This window comes from Homo sapiens, chromosome 8 (assembly GCF_000001405.40).
Source record: "Homo sapiens chromosome 8, GRCh38.p14 Primary Assembly".
NCBI classification, from domain to species: domain Eukaryota; kingdom Metazoa; phylum Chordata; class Mammalia; order Primates; family Hominidae; genus Homo; species Homo sapiens.
In genome coordinates this window covers 66,986,647-67,004,966 of record NC_000008.11, presented here as the reverse complement: position 1 = coordinate 67,004,966, position 18,320 = coordinate 66,986,647, and the positions used below count along the sequence as shown (strand labels likewise).

At 37.9% G+C, this 18,320-nt stretch overlaps 1 protein-coding gene across 4 annotated transcripts in view; it reads left to right on the top strand.

Annotated features, from left to right (window-relative positions):
- Positions 1-18,320, top strand: part of PPP1R42 (protein phosphatase 1 regulatory subunit 42) — a 64,452-nt gene that overhangs the window by 23,588 nt on the left and 22,544 nt on the right. For 3 of the 4 annotated variants that reach the window (NM_001364911.2, NM_001364912.2, NM_001364910.1), the window contains one exon: positions 16,450-16,567. In NM_001364911.2, the coding sequence (NP_001351840.1) occupies positions 16,450-16,567 (118 nt within the window). Of the gene's footprint in view, positions 1-16,449; positions 17,311-18,320 lie in introns of those variants that run through there. The other variant, NM_001013626.4, reaches the window with a different exon arrangement.

The following is an 18,320-nucleotide window of genomic DNA, read 5'->3' as shown; positions in this document are numbered from 1 at the left end:
TCCTCTTTAGGGAAACTGACTAGCTCAAGAGAAAACATCTCCCAATCCTGATATTTAAGAGTTTCAGAGGGAAAATGCCAGCTGCCTGCCCAGTTGCCCCACAGTGAGACAGTCAACAAGCCTTGCCCTTGCACAGAAAGCTCTCATTCACTTTCATGAATAAACAGGCAGCTCAGGATTAGGAGACCTCTGAAAAGAGCCTCTAAAATCAAAGAGAGAGAAACGGAAACAAAAAGAAAGAATTCCGAAGAAATAAATCATGTGGAAACAGGAAAACAATCCTTTAAAATCCCACTATAATTTCCTAAGAGAAATGAAAAAGATTCCATAACCTCAAAATAAAAGCAAGATTCTATTTTTTAAAAGAAACATGAATAACAGAGCACTTAGAAATTAAAAATAGGATGAGGAAATTAAATATTCAATATAAAGTTTAAATGATAAAATTGACAGTCTCCCAGAAAGAACAAACAAAAAGAACTGAATATAAGCAAGTAAAAAAGAAACTTAAAGAATTAATTCAGAAGATCCAATATATGACTAATAAGAGTACCAGAATCAGAGAATAGGTATCTTAGTCCATTTTTGCTGCTATAACAAAATACCTGAGACTGATTAATTTATCAGCAGAAACCTACTTCTGGAAGTGCTGGAGGCTGGGAAGTCTAAGATCAAGGCAGCAAAGGTTGGTTTCTGGCAAGGGCTGCTCTCTGCTTCCAAGATAGAGCCTTGCGGCATTCAGAGGGGATGTGTCCTCATACAGCAGAGGGATGAAAGGAGCAAAATCACCCTTTTATAAGGTTCTAATCCATTCATGAAGGCTCTGCCCTCATAAATTAGTCACTTCCTAAAGGTCTACCTCTTTTTTTTTTTTTTTGAGACGGAGTCTCGCTCTGTCACCCAGGCTGGAGTGCAGTGGTGCCATCTCGGCTCACTGCCAGCTCCACCTCCCAGGTTAACGCCATTCTCCTTCCTCAGCCTCCCGAGTAGCTGGGACTACAGGCGCCCGCCACCACGCCCGGCTAATTTTTTGTACTTTTAGTAGAGACGGGGTTTCACCGTCTTAGCCAGGATGGTCTCAATCTCCTGACCTTGTGATCCACCCGCCTTGGCTTCCCAAAGTGCTGGGATTACAGGCGTGAGCCACCGCACCCAGCCCCAAAGGCCTATCTCTTAATACTACTGCATTGGCAATTAAGTTTCAACATATGTCCAGGAAGAATAAGGCAGGGGAAAAAAAAAGTTTCAACATATGAACTTTGGGGGACACATTTGGACCACAGCAATAGGGGGAAAATGGAGAAATATGTTTTTAAGTTATAGCTTAAGATAATCTAATGGGCCATGATGTAGTAACCAGGACCAGAATTGCCCTCCATAAAAACAAACAGAAACCTAGACAAAATATGTGAAACAACTTTTTCAGACCTTGGACAATAGGCAGCACAGGCCTGTTGTCCCTAAGAGAAAAAACAAGATGAATATTGACCACAGTGCAGGGAGAGGAACAGCAAACAAGAACCACAAAAATCTTGCTTTTAGATGTAGTCTTGTGGAAAAAAAAAAAAAAAAAAAAAGAAGCATGAAAATGTAAATCATAACCAGAGAAAAATCAGTCAAAAAAAAAACCCAGAAATGACATGAAGGATAGAATTAGGAGATAAGACTTTAAAAAAAAATTATAAATATACTGTATAATTTAAAGAAATCATGAACAGAAAGGGAAGAGAAATGGAAAGTGTGGGGAAAACATAACTTCTAGAGCTAAAAAATATTTTTCTTTTTTTTTTTTTTTTTTTTGAGACGGAGTTTCGCTCTTGTTGCCCAGGCTGAAGTGCAATGGTGCGATCTCAGCTCACTGCAACCTCCGCCTCCGGGGTTCAAAAGATTCTCTTGCCTCAGCCCCACCTAGTAGCTGGGATTACAGGCACCCGCCACCACGCCCAGCTAATTTTTTTTTTTTTTGTATTTTTAGTAGAGATGGGGGTTTCACTATGTTGGCCAGACTGGTCTCGAACTCCTGACCTCAGGCGATCCAAACCGCCTCGGCCTCCCAAAGTGCTGGGATTACAGGCGTGGGCCACCAAGCCTGACTAAAAATATTTCTAAAATAAAAAATTCATTGGATAGGATTAAAAGTAGATTAGCCATTGTACAAGAAAAGATCAGCGAATTTAAAGACATAGTATTAGAACTATCCAAAGTAAAGCACGGAAAAAAAAAAAACACTGAAAAAAAAAAAAAAGCGGGGGCAACAGAGCAAGCCCCTATCTCAAAACAAAACAAACAAGCAAACAAACACAGAACAACAAAAAAAGTGGCCCCAAAATTGCCAAATTTGATGAAAATTTTAATCCCTGATCTATGAAGCTCAACAAAACCCAAACGGGAAAATCCCAAAGACAATTACACCAAAGTACACTACAGTAAAATTGCTAGAAAACCAATGATAATAAGAATATCTTAAAAGCCAGGCACAGTGGCTCATGCCTGTAATCCCAACACTTTGGGAGGCCAAGGCGGGCGGATGACTCGAGGTCAGGAGTTGATGACTAGCCTGGCCAACATGGTGAAACCACGTCTCTACTAAAAATACAAAATTAGCCAGGTGTAGTGGCTCATGCCTGTAGTCCCAGCTACTTGGGAAGCTGAGGCAGGAGAGTTGCTTGAACCCGGGAGTCAGAGGTTGCAGTGAGCCGAGATCGTGCCATTGCACTCCAGCCTGGGCAACAAGAGTGAAACTCCATGTAAAAAAATATATATAGACATCTTAAAAGCTACCAGAAGAAAAGATATTTAAAAGATATTTTATGTACATAGAAAGATAAGAATTATTACAAGCTTCTTGTCAAAAGCAATGCAAGCCAGAAGATCATGAAACATATTTAAAATGCTAAAAGGAAAACACCCTTGTCAACTTAGAATTATATATGTCCAGTGAAACCATCCTTCAAAAAAATGAAGGCAAAATAAAGAAAAATAAAACCTGAGATAATTTTTGTTTTTAGACAGGGTCTTACTCTGTTGGCCAGTCTGTAGTGCAGTAGTGTGATCGCAGCTCACTGCAGCCTAAATTTCCTGAGCTCAAGTGAACGTCCTGCCACAGCCTCACTGTAGCTGGGATCACTGATGTGTGCAACCACACATGCAATAAAATGAAGGCAAAATAAATAATAACCATATAGCATGAGGTTTATGACATGTAAAAGTAAAATAAACTAACAATAGCACAAATGACAGGAATGGAGAAAATAGTGGTATATTGTTGTAAAGTTCTTACATTATACGTGAAGTAGTACCATGCTATTTGATAGTAACCTGTGCATATTTAAAAATGATTGTTTTAAACGCTGAAGCAACTACTAAAATATAGTCGAAGATTTTTACAACTAATAAGCCAATAAGGGAAACTCAAATGTCACAAAAAAGTAGGGGATAGGAAAAGAAAAGGGAAATAAAGAACAGATAAGATAAATAGCAAGACAGTAGTCTTAAACTCAGCCAATATCAATAATTATATATTAATATTAATATTAATAATTATATTAATGTAAATAATTTAAATAGTTCAATTAAAAGGCAGAGATAGTAGGACCGGATTTTTTTTTAAATCCAATCTTAACCGGGCATGGTGACGCCTGTAATGTCAGCACTTTAGGAGGCCAAGGTGGGAGGATCACTTGAGCCCAGGAGTTCGAGAGCAGCCTGGGTCTTGTTATCTATGCTTTAAAAAAAAAAAAAAATCCAATGGTACTCTCTAGAGAAACACATTTTATATATAAAGATATGTGAGTTAAAAATAAAATTATGAAAAAAATATACTGCAAACACAAATAATATGAAAAATGAAATGGCTACATTAATATAAAATAAAAGATTCTAGGACAAGAAATATTACCAGAGATATATAAGGAAAATTTATAATGATAAAAAGTGCCAACTCTTTAAGAAAACATAACAATCCTCAAAGTTATGCTCCTAGCAATAGAATTACAAACTATATGAAGTAAAAATTCACAGAAGTAAAAGGAGAAATGGACAAACCCATAATTATAACAGAGATTTCAACACTTCTCTTGCATTGGTTGATAGAACAAGCTGATAGTAAACCAGTAATGATATAAAAGATAGGTATAACATAACCAACCAACTTGATCTAATTTACTCTTATAGAACATTCTACCTTAAAATAGGAGTTAGAATATTTAGAGCTGGGTGCAGTGGCTCACGCCTCTAATACTATCACTTTGGGAGGCTGAGGCAGGTGGAATTTTTGAACCCAGGAGTTCAAGACCAGCCTGGGCAACATAGTGAAACCCTGTCTCCACTAAAAATACAAAAATTAGCCAGGCATGGTGGTGCACACCTGTAGTCCCAGCTACTCAGGAGGCTGAGTTGGGAGGATCGTTTGAGCCTACGAGGTGGAGGCTGCAGTGACCGAGATCACACCACTGCACTCCAGCCTGGGCAACAGAGTGAGACCCTATATCAAAAAACAAAATTATCAACATAATCCATATGAAATGAAACAAAGTCCATAGAAATCACAAAGAAAATTAGAAAATACTTGAACTGAATGAAAATGAAAACAAAACATTTGAAAATTTGTGGGATACAGTAAAGTAATGCTTAGAGGGAAAGTTATAGCTTTGAATGCTTATAGTAGAAAAGAAAAAAATTATAAAATGACAACAAGAATGAGGGAAAAATACAAACAATAATGATAATAAATTTAAGATGAAGAAAAATTAAAACAATGCTCTAATCTTGTACCTCAAGCAGCAAGAAAAATACATGTAAATTAAATTCAAAATTAATTTGAAGGAAGGAAATTAAAATGAAGGAAAAAAGGAAATAAGGAAAATAACAGCAGAAATTAATGAAATAGAAATACAGGCAACCATTAGAGAAAAATCAATGATGCCAAAAGCTGGTTCTTTGCAAATATTAATAAAATTAATAAACAATCTAGGCTGTTCAAGAAAACAGAGAAAACACAAATTAACAATATCTGGAATGAAAACTATGTCACTACAGTTAAAAGGATAAGAAGGGAATGTTGTAAAGAACTTTATGCCATAAGGTTGGCAGCTTAGTTAAAAACATATTACTTGCAAGACATAAATACCAAAACTGACATAAGAAACAGAAAGTCTGAATAGCTCTGTATCTATTAAATACATCATATTTCACAAATAAAAACCTCACCGCAAAGAGAACTCCAAGACCAGATAACCTCACTGATGCACTTTATCACACAATTAAGAAAGAAATGATACCAATCTTACACAAATGCTTTCAGAAAATAGAAAAGCAAGGCCAGGTGCAGTGGCTCATGCCTGTAACCCTAGCACTTCAGGAGGCCAAGCTGAGCAGATCTCTTGCGCTCAGGAGTTCAAAACCCAGGCTGGGCAATGTGGGGAGACCCCATCTCTACAAAAAATACAAAAATTAGCCAGGGCTCATGCCTGTAATCCCAACACTTTGGGAGGCCAAGGCAGGAGGATCACCTGAGGTCAGGAGTTCGAGGCTAGCCTGACCAATGTGGCGAAACCCCGTCTCTACTAAAAATAAAAAAATTAGCTGGGTGTGGTGGCACATGCCTGTCATTCCAGCTACTTGGGAGGCTGAGGCAGGAGAATCTCTTGAACCCAAGAGGTGGAGGGTGCAGTGAGCCGAGATCATGCCACTGCATTCCAGCCTAGGCAACAGAGTGAGACTCCATCTCAAAGAAAAAAAAAATTAGCCAGGCATGGTGGTGCCCATCTGTAGTCCCAGCTACACAGGAGGCTGAGGTGGGAGGATCATATGAACCCAGGAAGTCGAGGCTGCAGTGAGCTGAGATCATGCCACTGCTCTCCAGCTGGCCGGGGGAACAAAGTAAGACCCTGTCTCAGAAAGAAAAAAGAAAGAAAACAGAGAAGCAGGGACTACTTCCCAACTCATGTTATCAAACCAGCAATATTACAAGAACACTAAAGAGCAATATACCCTATGAACAGAGAAGCAAAAATCCCTACTAAAATATTAGCAAATCAAGCCCAGAAATATATAAAAAAAAACACACAATGACCAGGTGAGGCTTATCTCAGGAATGCAAGATTGTTTTGGCATTCAGAAATAAATGAATGTAATTCACCAAACAGAATAAAGGAGAAATATTATATGATCATCTCAATAGATGCACAAAATGCATGATATTCAGCACCATGTATGATTTTTAAAAATTATCAGCAAACTGTAAATAGAAAGGAACTTAACCTGATAGTAGGCATCTATATAAAATCTACATAACAACATACTTAATGATGAAAGATTGAATGCTTTCCCTAAGATTAAGAATAAAGGAAGGATGTTTGCTATACCACATTACTCAACCTTAGAGTTGCACCTGTCTTAGCCAGTGCAATAAGGCCAAAAAATGAAACAAATGACATTGCTTGAAAAGGAAGAAACAAAATGTTCTTTATTTGCAGACTATGTGATTGGGTACATATAAAATGATAAGAAATCTGCAAAAAGCTATTAGAACTTATGGAGTGTATTTAGCAAAGCCATATGCTTAATGGCAAGGTCAATATGTTAAACGTAACTGTGTTTCCATTGACTAGCAGTGAACAACTAGAAATGAATTTTTTTAAAATGGCATTTATAACTTCATCAGATATATAAAATACTTAGGGATACATTTTTAAAACTGTGCAAGAGCTGTACAATAAAAACACAAAATATTGGAAGAAATTAAAGAAGATCTACATAAATGGAGAGAGATACCATTTTCGTGTATTAGCAGACTGTATTCTGGTTTTGATTTTTTGTTTTAATAGACTTTTTTTCTGGTTTTGATTTTTTTATTTTAATAGACTTTATTGTTTAGATTAATTTTAGATTCATAGCAAAATTGAAAGGAAAGTACAGAGATTTCTCATATACTGCCTGCCCCTACACATGCATGGTTGAAGGCTCTGTATTCTTAAAGTGCTAATTCCTTTTCAATTGATCTATACATTCAACATAATCCCAATCAAGATCTCAGATTCTTTTCTCTTAGAAATTGACAAATCAACCCTAAAATTTATAAGAAAAGGCGTAAAAAGAACCAATTGGTAAAACCATCACAGGCATGGTAACTCATGCTTATAATCCCAGTACTTTGGGAGGATGAGGCAGGAGGATTGCTTGAGCCCAGGAGTTTGAGACCAGCCTGGGCAATATAGCAAGACCCCTCCTCTAAAAGGTGTTTTTTTTTTTAAAAAAAATTAGCTGGGAATGGTGGCCTATAGTACCAGCTACCCAAAAGGCTGAGGTGGGAGGACTGCATGAGCCCTGGAGGTCGTGGCTACATTGGGCCATGATTGTGCCACTGTACTTCAGCCTGGGCAACAGAGTGAGACCGTGTTTCTTGGGAAAAAAAAAAAAAAAAAGCCAGGCACAGTGGCTCACATCTGTAATCCTAGCTCTCTGGGAGTCTGAGGCTAGAGAATCACTCTTTTTTTTTAATTAGCTGGGTGTGGTGGAACATGCCTGTGGTCCCAGCTACTCAGGAGGCTGAGGTGAGAGGATCTCATAAGCCCAGGAGGTTGAGACAGCAGAGAGCCATGATCATGGCACTGCACTCCAGCCTGGGTTTCAAAGTGAGATCCTTTCTCAAAAATAAAATAAATAAAATAAAATACATTTGGAGACTTACCCTACCTGATTTCACAACTTTAAAGTTACGATAATCAAGACAATGTGGCATTGACATAGGGTGGCCATGAAGATTAAGGAAACAGAACAGTTTATAAATAAACTCACACATAGAGTCAACTGATTTTTAAGAGTCTCGCTCTGTTGCCCAGGCTGGAGTGAAGTGGCACAATCTCAGCTCACTGCAACCTCCGCCTCCTGGGTTCAAGCAATTCTTCTGCCTCAGCCTTCCGAGTAGCTGAGATTACAGGCACATGCCACCACACCCAGCCAATTTTTTATATTTTTGGTAGAGACAGGGTTTCGGCATGTTGGCCAGGCTTTTCTTGAACTCCTGACCTCAAGTGATCCACCTGCCTCAGCCTCCCAAAGTGCTAGAAATACAGGTGTGAGCCACCGTGCCCAGCCAAAAATTCCAATATTTCAATGGAAGAAAGGATAATGTTTTCAACAAATGGTGGAACAACTGGATATCCAAATAGAAAAAGTGAACCTTCACCCTTTACCCCATGCACAAAAATTTACTCAAAATGGATCATATCCAAATTTAGCTGCTAAAATATAAAACTTCTAGAAAAAATATAAAGATTTCTTTAAAAGAACGCAAAAAGCACGACCCATAAAAATTGAGTATTCCACCTAAACAGGAGAGTAAACTAGGAAAAGGGAAGACATGGTATCTAGGAAACAGTAGAAAAGCTAAGGAAATTCACAGAAGTGAAGGTAAGTCTTAGGACAGCAGCTGTACGGTAGGCTAGAAGGCACCCAGCCCATGCTGCAACAGACTGAACTGTGGTAAGTACATAGAAAACTAAGAAATTAGGCAATTTTTAACTCTAGGGAAAAGAAGAGGCAATCCTAGTGTACTATGTAGTTTAGCTGTGAAGAATACTTAATTGAGCTTAATAATATAGTCACTGAAACTTGGCCAGGTGCAGTGGCTCACATCTGTGATCCCAGCACTTTGGGAGGCCAAGGCAGGAGGATTGATTGAGCTCACGAGTTCGAGACCAGCCTGGGAAAGATGGTGAAACCCTATCTCTACAAAAAATACAGAAACACTAGACAGGCATGGTGGCACATGCCTGAGTCCCAGCCATTCGGGAGGCTTTGGTGGAAGGATCGCTTGAGCCTGGGAGGTCAAAGCTGCAGTGAGCCATGATCATACTACTGCACTCCAGCCTGGGTGACAGAGTGAGACTCTGTCTCAAATAATAATAATAATAAGACACTCAGTGAAAATTAATTAACAATGTTAGTATAACTCTACTGACATAGTGGGAGAAGGGAAGTGTAGTAGGGGTTGGAGGTAGTACTTATGAGAATTAAATCATCATCTTTCATAGTAGAAATTTAGTAGATAAATATCTAAGATTTAAAAATCAAAAATAGCCATTGTTATTTAGAAATGTGGACATAAATGTGTGTAGAAATAGCTGAAGAAGTTGAAAGTGGTTTTGTTATAAGCCCTGACATACTCTTTAAGTTTTGTTATAAACCCTATGATCTTATTTGATATTTTAACTGTGTTGATTATCTCACTTTAATTTTTTAACATAATTTAAATAGAGAATGGTTGGTGAGGAAACTTGATCAATATAACCTTGTTATTGTGTATCACCATATCCCTCATTAGACTGAGTAGCTTTGAATGCAAGGAATTTTGATTTATTTACTTCAGGGTTACCCAGAGCCCAGCCCAGTGCTTGGCACATAGCAGGCACCTACTGTATGTTTATAGAACAAATGAAGAAGGGCACAAAAAAATATTCTGGAGAAGGAATGCAAACCATTCACTGAGTTCCAGCTGTTGGTATATACCAAAAGTTGCTTTTCCCTCCCATAGAGTGAAGATATCCAAGGAGTAAGAATAAAATCTTAAGTTCTTTTACTTCCACCATGAAGACACAAACAATTAAAAATGCCTGGACACAGCTTCTTGGCATTCTGAATATAGACATTGCCCAGGATATGTTTGAAATGTGCTTTTTGTGGTTCATTTTAAATAATCTTCTGAAGGCTTAGTCAAAGGACATGTTGAAGCCTAGCATCAGAATATTAACTCGTTTTTCTGTTATGTATTCCTGGGCAGCATCTCTATATTTGGCTTTAATTTTTTCCTTCTTTTTGTTCACTGACATTGTCCAAAAGCTACTGACATCAAACCCTGTGCTATAGGCAAAAAATCTCTCATGCCATATATAAGGTCACTGACATCCATCCTGAATCGTCAGCAACAGACAGCTTTGTGCCATGGGGAAAAAGAAATGGACATCATTAGAGAATCCTAACAAAACCACTGTAATTACCCAAGGTTTTCAGCACTTAGAGCAGCTGCTTTTATATGGACCTAAGTTCCTTAAGTGTGCCTACAGAAAATACAGGAAATAACTAGTGTAGTTCTTACACAGGAAATTATCATTTTAAAGTTATTACTTTTGCTGATAATTTACTATTATCTCTAAAAGTAAATATTCAAAATTTAAAATTAATATTCAAATGTTTTTAAAAGGAACCTTAGTCACACCATTGTATTATTATAAATATTGTAATAGATTACTCCATACTATGAAAGTCCTGTTAATCAATATTGCAGATAGATTTTTGCAAAGTATTATAAACTAAAGCATCTTAGCAATTTGTGTGTATCTACAAATTGTCTTCTTGTAGTCTTGTTCCATCAAACTGAATGTATATATCTTTTGGCATAGAAGACACATTTTGTAAGTGACTACTTTAAGAAAATATGAAAAAATAATGATCCCTTAGGATGGTTAAACAACTTTGAATCTTTCAACCAAGATTCTTGTTTGAGCAGTGAGAAAGGAAGATATTTAAAGGAACACATGTAGCAAGGAAAAGTGCTACCAAGGGACTGAAATTCTTGAGCTCTGTGGAAAGAAAAGAGAGAACTGGGTTTCCAGGAAATATAAGCATTCTGAAACAATGCCATGCCCTAGCTTACTGAGGGTCCTAGAGCCACAAGGGAGTGGCTGCATTAGAGGCTGAGGCACAGGATATGCCTCATTACAGAGGCTACCTGTAAGAAGCTGGGTAGCCAAGCAACTTTTGGCCCTCCTGCTGCTTGAGATTTCATTCCCTCTCCTCTCCTCACATCTTTAGACCCACAACTGCCAAGGACTCCTTACCACCAAGATCCTCTAACTCTGCCTTCATCTCTGCTATTCCTTAATCCAAAACTGGTCCAGGGCAGGGACTTCTAGACAGGAGGATATATAAATGGAGAGAAGGGATAGAGGAGGAAATAGAAGAAAAGAGAAGATAGTCTTTCTTTTCTCTCTCTTTCCATGTCTGCAGCACCTCTAATTAGCAACTTCTTCAAAAATGGTTCCATCTTATTTCTCCCTATAATTCCTGTCCTGCTTCTAGCCTTAGGTCACCTGGCCCTCTCTTGTTCATTCATTCATTCATTCATTCATCTCTCATACATTCATTGAAAACACCTACTATGTGGCAGTACTTGCTAGACAATGGGGGACACAAAAGTGAGCAGAAAACAGATATGATCCCTGGCCTTGAGGAATTCTCAACATTCAGGGGAAGAGAAACATTAAGCACATAGTCATCCCAAAACAAATATAAAATTGCACAAGTACCACAAAAATGAAGTATGTGTCTCTGCGAGCCTATTATAAGAGAGGGATCTGTCCTAGTTAGAGAGGTCACTAAAGGCTTCTCTAAGAAAGGGATAGCTGAGCTCTGAGAGAAAAGAAACACTTATCAGGCAAATAAAACAGCATGTGCCAAGGTCCTGGGGCAGGTTGGAGCATGGCAAATATGAGGGATAAGAAGCTGAGATAGTGAAGGTGGAACATAGTGCAGAGGCCAGCGGGTAGATGGGCCACATAGGCATGAAAGAGAGTTTTGCCTTTATCCTTAGAACAATGAGGAGCCAGTGGAGGTGTTTAAGCCAGGAGTGAAGTAACTGGAGATTAGCGGTTTGAAAAGATCTGCATGGCTACAGTGTGAAGAACAGACTGGAAGAGGCCAGGCTAGTTACAAAGTGAGAGATGATGGAGACTTTAATAAGGTAGGGATGGAAATGGAGTGGACAGATTGGAGAGCTGTTTAGGAAGTAAAGTGGATAAGACTTGGTTGTGAGTTGGATATAGGGAGCATGGGAGAAGGAGAGGTCAAGAGTGATTCCTGGGCTTCTTGCCTTGCACAATGAGAAATAAAGAAGTCAAGAGTCAAGTTTGAGAGATAATGAGTTTTGGTAGTGTAGGGTTTGAAGCGCCTTTGAAATGTTCCAGAGAAAATGTCAAGTACATAATTGGACATATGAGGCCACAGCTCAGAGGATAAATAAATGTGAATCTTCAGCGTATTAAGTGGTCACTGAAACTACTATCATCGACAAGATTGCCTATAGTCGGGAGGGGAGAGAGTACAAAGAAATGCTCAGCTTGGCCTCCCACATAATTTGGTTCTTCCTCTTGTGAATAGATGACCTCTCTTTCTTTAGGGTAACAGAAGTTTGACTATTATCATAAATGTGGCCATTCTTTTTCTATAAAGGGTCTAAGTATAAATAGAGAAGGCAATGGGTTACGGGAGGCAAACTTTTTTCTAGCTGTGATTTTACATTCTGCTGTGGTCCAGGGAAGGGAAACCAACACTGTTTGAAAGGAATAAACATAGATTATAGAAAAGGAGTCAAGTGAATTGGTCCCCAAGGTTCTCCCACCAGGGACATATGCTCCTGCTCCCCAGTGAGAGCTCTCGCTCTCTGGAAACGTGCTGATGCATTATGGGGAAGACTGTCACTGCATAGATGTTCTTACAGCATTGCTTTTATTAGTTAGATGTTCTATTAGTTAGATGTTTTATTAGTAGTTGCTTCTATTAGTTAGATGTTTTATTAGTTAGATGTTCAGTTCTCGGTATGTGGCTGAGATTAGCGGTTTGAAAAGATCCACATGGCTACAATATGAAGAACAGATTGGAAGAGGCCAGGTTAGTTAGGAAGTGAGAGATGGTGGAAACTTTAATAGAGATTTCCCCAATGTATGAAACAGCCTTTTCATACATTGGGGATTTCTGTAGTCAGAGGTTTGTTACTTGTGGAGTCAGAGATTCATGAAGGATCCATGCAAGAACGTAGAATCACAAAGCCATGGAGTGGTGACCAGGGTACGATATTCCAAAGAATTGAGACTGGGAAAGTATGTGATTGGCAATGTGTGGATCAGTGATAAGGCTAGCAATGCCTTTTCAGTGGCACCAGATTGCAGGAGTGCCCAGTGGTTGAAGAAGCAACCAGCTGTTATCCACACTATAGCCATGCAGTAGACTAGGCCAACTCCAAGTGGGGACCTAGACCAGCAGCAGCAGCAGAAATGCAGAATCTCGGCTTCTGTCTCAGACCTAACAACTCAGAACCTGCATTTAAATAAGATCACTCAGGATTCTTAAGCACATGAAAGTTTGAGAAGCATTAGTCCGGATCAGTCTTCAAGAAGTTTGGCAATGGTAGGTAAGAGATAAAATAAACTCCAGATAAGACGGAGATACTGGAAATGGAAATGGAAGGGAGAGAAGATCCCAGGAAGAAAAGGCTGGGAACAAAAGAACTACTTAACCTGGGGAAAGAGGTGTGACTCTTCCTTTGTTGAGAAAAATGGAAAAGAAGAATGGAAGAGAAAGTGTGAAATCAAAGGCAGATAACTGAGAAAACTTGGTGGACGGATGACCCACTTCTCCCCAGTAAAATTGGTGGCAAGGTCAACCACTGAAGAGAAGGCGAAAGAGAGGTTTTAGGCCAAACAATACTCCATAGTGTAGAAACTCCTTTAACTTACAGGGCTCTAGTTTAAATGACATTTACTTTTGGTTAACATGTCTTTGCATGTTTTTCCTGTACCTCCTTTAAACAGATATTCATCAATGTATAAAAATTATTAGATAGTTTAACAACAATTTACAATAAGACTTTTGCATTTGTACAAGTAGCCTGATGAGGCTAAGTTGAGCCATGAACTTCACTAGGGCCAGCATTATATAGCTTGCTGACACTATTAAGTCAAATAAATATCATGGCTCCAAAAATGTATAAAACTTGAAGAACAAAAAAAAGTTTAATCTTTACCTATAGTTTTTAAGTCTGTAAAGTTTGCTAAATCAATACAATTATCTGAAAAGTTCATCTCAAAATCAGATATATTAGTGATTTACTTCATTGGTTTTCTGATGACCATTTATCATGAGGTATAGAATCTTCAGTATGAATGAGGGAAATAAAAAATTTGACATGTTTGCCTCTTATATGAACTAAATATCTGATTTATAAGACACAAATGAACAAACTTCTACGGCCTGTCATGTTTTCTCAGTTTCTAATTTATTCAACCTCTGCTCAATATTGATCCTGACAAGCAGAGTGACCCAAAGATAAATTTATTCATTGCACAGTTGAGTCAGGAACAAGCCAAAAATTATAGATTTTCCCAGGCAGATGATGACAGGCAGTCAGAAGGATGACAAATGGCTGTCTTTAGATTTAGTAAGGACGGTTGGTCCAGACATTTCCGATAAAGATTGGAGTATGCTGGTCAAATACAGGTTCATCAGCGGTCATCATTAATGGTAGAGAGAGCATTGCTGTGCTGCAGACGCCTAGAAAGGAGCTTAGGCATCAGCCCTGCAGGGGAAATAGAATTTGCTCCTTAGTATTTTGCAGCACTCCTCTAAGTGATAGCATGACATGATCATTTATCAAATAGAGACTGTCCAGAAAAGTGTCTGCTTCCTTTAGTAACTTATTGAAGAGCAGGAAAGTGAAAGCTTTTTATTAAAGACAGGAAGGCAATGAACAACCAGAGCGTATCCAAAGGGTAATCGTATTTCAGCACAGGATTAGTTTAGTCTTAAATAAACATACACTGGAGGGAGTATGTCGAAGGTCATTTATCAAGTAAAGAACAATTAACAAAACTCTAAGCACTCTTTATCTATATTAATTTAACGTTCTCTAAGTGTTTGTATTAACTTTTAGATGATGGGCATCACATTCAACACTGTAAAAAATGTGATACATAATCCCTTCCTTATAGGTTTTTAGAGTAAGAGAAATACAATGTAACTCTCAACGTAAAATAAGATAGTTACGGCTCTATTAAACCCTGCCAAACAAATGCTGTTGGAGAAGGCATATTCCAGAGCCCAGAACTGAAGGCTGAAGTTATAATTTATGAAGATAACTTTCTTATAAAAAGTCAACTACTTATTTGTCAATAGGTCAAGAAGTTTCTTCTTCCTTACTTAAAATGTTTTCGCTCTCTGTTGACAAAAATTAAGAGAAAGGGAATTAGTTAAGAGGTAGCAGGGCAGGCAAACAGGCAGAGAACTGACACATTTATTACTTTCTTTGTTCCAGGCACTTTATATGCCATGGCAACTAATCTTAATTAACCTCAAGTTATAGATGAAGACATATATTTGCCTAAGGTCACACAGTAAGCAGCAGTGCCAGGAAGTTTAGGATTGCCTTATTTTTAAAAAAACAATGTCTTATATTTTCACATAAATTACTTATTGGAATCCCTCAAAGTCTAGTGCAGACTAAATTTAGGGTATATATCCAAAGAAAGTGAAATTACTATTTTAAAAGCAACATGTGCACTCCCATGTTCTTTGCAGCAATATTCACAATAGCCAAGCTATGTGCACTACTTTTGTTGAGTAATTCATTACAGATTAAATGTATCTGATATTAAAAATAAAGAACAGAAAAAATAAAGAAAAATAAAGAACAGAACTTTGGCCACTTATAAGAAATACTCAAAGTGTACTTCATTATCATTAAATAGCAGTTAAGATAAAATACACTTTTTAGAAAGCGGGGAAGGGGAGAAAGCAAGACATAACAGACAAAGTACTGAGGAAGGAGTGACACTGGATAGGAAAAGAAACCCAAATAGGGACAAAGATGCTGTGAAAAAAGCAAACTGAGACAGTTAGTTCTTAAGTTCCGTTAATCTGTTTTCCTTACATTTATTTGGGTTGTAGACCATGGAATAACTTTATTATTCCTTGAACTATCAGTTAGCTGATTTTCTTCTTATAAGCTATAAAAACATGCAAATATTTATGATATAATATAAAACAAAATTGTACTCACAGTACAATTATGACAATTAAAAATATGTACCCTCCCGAAAGTCCCTATGCTCAAAAAGATTAGAAGGATACATAACAGCATATTAAAAGTGATCTTTGCATGATAAGCATACAAATGATTTTTTCCCCCTTTCTTCCATTTTTCCCTTTGGTAGGTGTTTGTTTTTTGGTCTTTTTTTTTTAACACTTAAAAAATGAATATGCATTCTTTGTAAAATAAAAAGCAACAACACACATTCCTTACAATCACCAGGGACTGCTTACTCACTACCCCTTAATTGCCTAATCTGTAAACTTCTATGAGCTACACTAAGAATAGGGCATCTTCTGCAGGAAAAAGTTTTTTCTGAGCTGCAGTGGGGGCCATTTAAGGGAGTATGACAGAGAACAGTTGTGTGGCCCTCAACTTAGGACCTCTTTTTTTTGCCTCATCTTCAGTGCCTTCTATTATCAGTATAGATTGTTTTATTCAAAATTTAGTTATTATGCACCTTCTAAGTACCTGGCTCTGAGCTAGAACTCCATGAAAGCAGTAATTACCTTTAAAAACAATAACTGACATGCTAGAAGTATTGGTAAATATGAAATGCTTGTGCTTTGCTTTTTCTTCTCTAATTATAGGATTTGGAGTTTTTACTGAACAAGTTGATGAAGCTGTGGAAAATTGATCTAAATGGAAATCCTGTTTGTCTCAAACCAAAATACAGGGACAGACTGATATTGGTGTCCAAATCACTGGGTACATATTTATATTAATATAATTTTTAAGAGAATGACACCTAGTTAACTTTTTGGTTATTTTACCAGCAAGCTTTCAGAAATATAAATCTGACATCTGGATCTGTGAAAATTGTCAACTTTAAATTCAATATTTTGAATAAGAGCAAAAGTTAAAATTGACAAATAAAGCATGAAAAACATCTGCTGTTCAGAAGTAATTAAAGCACCTGATACTTATTCCTTAAGGAGGATATTTTGCTATTACCAATAAAAATGGTTAGTCATAAATGTGTAGAACTTGCTGACCTTTTGCCAAACTTTCGTTAGCACAAATCCTTTGATGATCCCAAGAGACTCCTTAGCTCTTGGTTCTGTAGATAAAATTGATCAAAGTTTTCATTGCTTGACATTTGCCAAATGTTACCCTAAGAACATACAGGAATCCCTTTCGTTTGATAGGAGAGCTGGGTGACGAGACCCTTTATGAGATCCTTACAAATAACATTCCTGAATGTGCACCATACTGGGGGAAATGGACAAAAACACTCGATTAATAGTGACCAAGTGACACAGCATCAGAAAGATGGGCAGTGACCTCTCACGAAGGCTATGGGAGTCATTTTATGTTTTTTAGGTTACCCAGTCCTCACCAAATAGAGTGACAATCCACATATTTGGTTTACTTAGCATGAGTGGAAGCAAATTTTGTATTGAGAGAAACTTATTAAAATGAAATAAATCTCATAGTTCTATAATCTTGAATTCATTACCTGGCTCCCAGTCTTCAACCATGTTCACACCTATTAACTTCAAATAAGAACATTTGAGGCCGGGCGCGGTGGCTCACGCCTGTGTTCCCAGCACTTTGGGAGGCCGCGGTAGGTGGATTGCCTGAGATCAGGAGTTTGAGACCAGTCTGGGCAACACGGTGAAACCCCATCTTTACTAAAATACAAAAGAATAGCCAGGGGTGGCAGTGTGCACATGTAATCTCAGCTACTCGGGAGGCTGAGATAGGAGAATCGCTTGAAACTGGTAGGCGGAGGTTGCAGTGAGCCGAGATCACGCCATTGCACTCCAGCCTGGGTGACGAAGTGAGACAATGTCTCAAAAAAAAAAAAAAAAAAAAAAGATCATTTGCTAAAAATGAGATGGAGACAGGTTAACGGAGGCATAGTTTCCTAGTCATTCCTCAGCTCTGTTTGGGACATTAACATGAGGAAGAAGAGATTACAATAAAAGACTTGGAATTTTCATTCCTTATCTTTATAGTATATTTTTAAAGTATGTATTGATTACATATATCTCATCCAAAAATATACTAACAAGCTATATAATTATTAATAAAAATAGATCTGGAAAGACATCAATAAATATAAGTAGCTGGAAAAACTGAGCATCAAAGAATGACCTTTAGAGTAGAGGCGGGGTTTCATTATGTTGGCCAGGCTGGTCTCGAACTCCTGACCTCAAGTGGTCCACCCGCCTTGGCCTCCCAAAGTGCTGGGATTACAAACATGAGCCACCGGCCCAGCCTGACGCCACTGTTAAATTAGGGAGAAAAGGTTAAGGAGGGATGGCTAATTCTAGTTATCACGACTGTGAAAGTATTTACTTTCTATCAGAAAGGCTATGTTTGAGCACAAACGCAGAAGCCTCACTCTTCGTTCTAGCAGTTTACTTTTGCGCACTTATTCTCCATATAAGGAAAACTGCAAGTAGCCTAATTTCCGCTTCAGGAAGTTAAAGACATTAACTTGGCAGAAACAGGC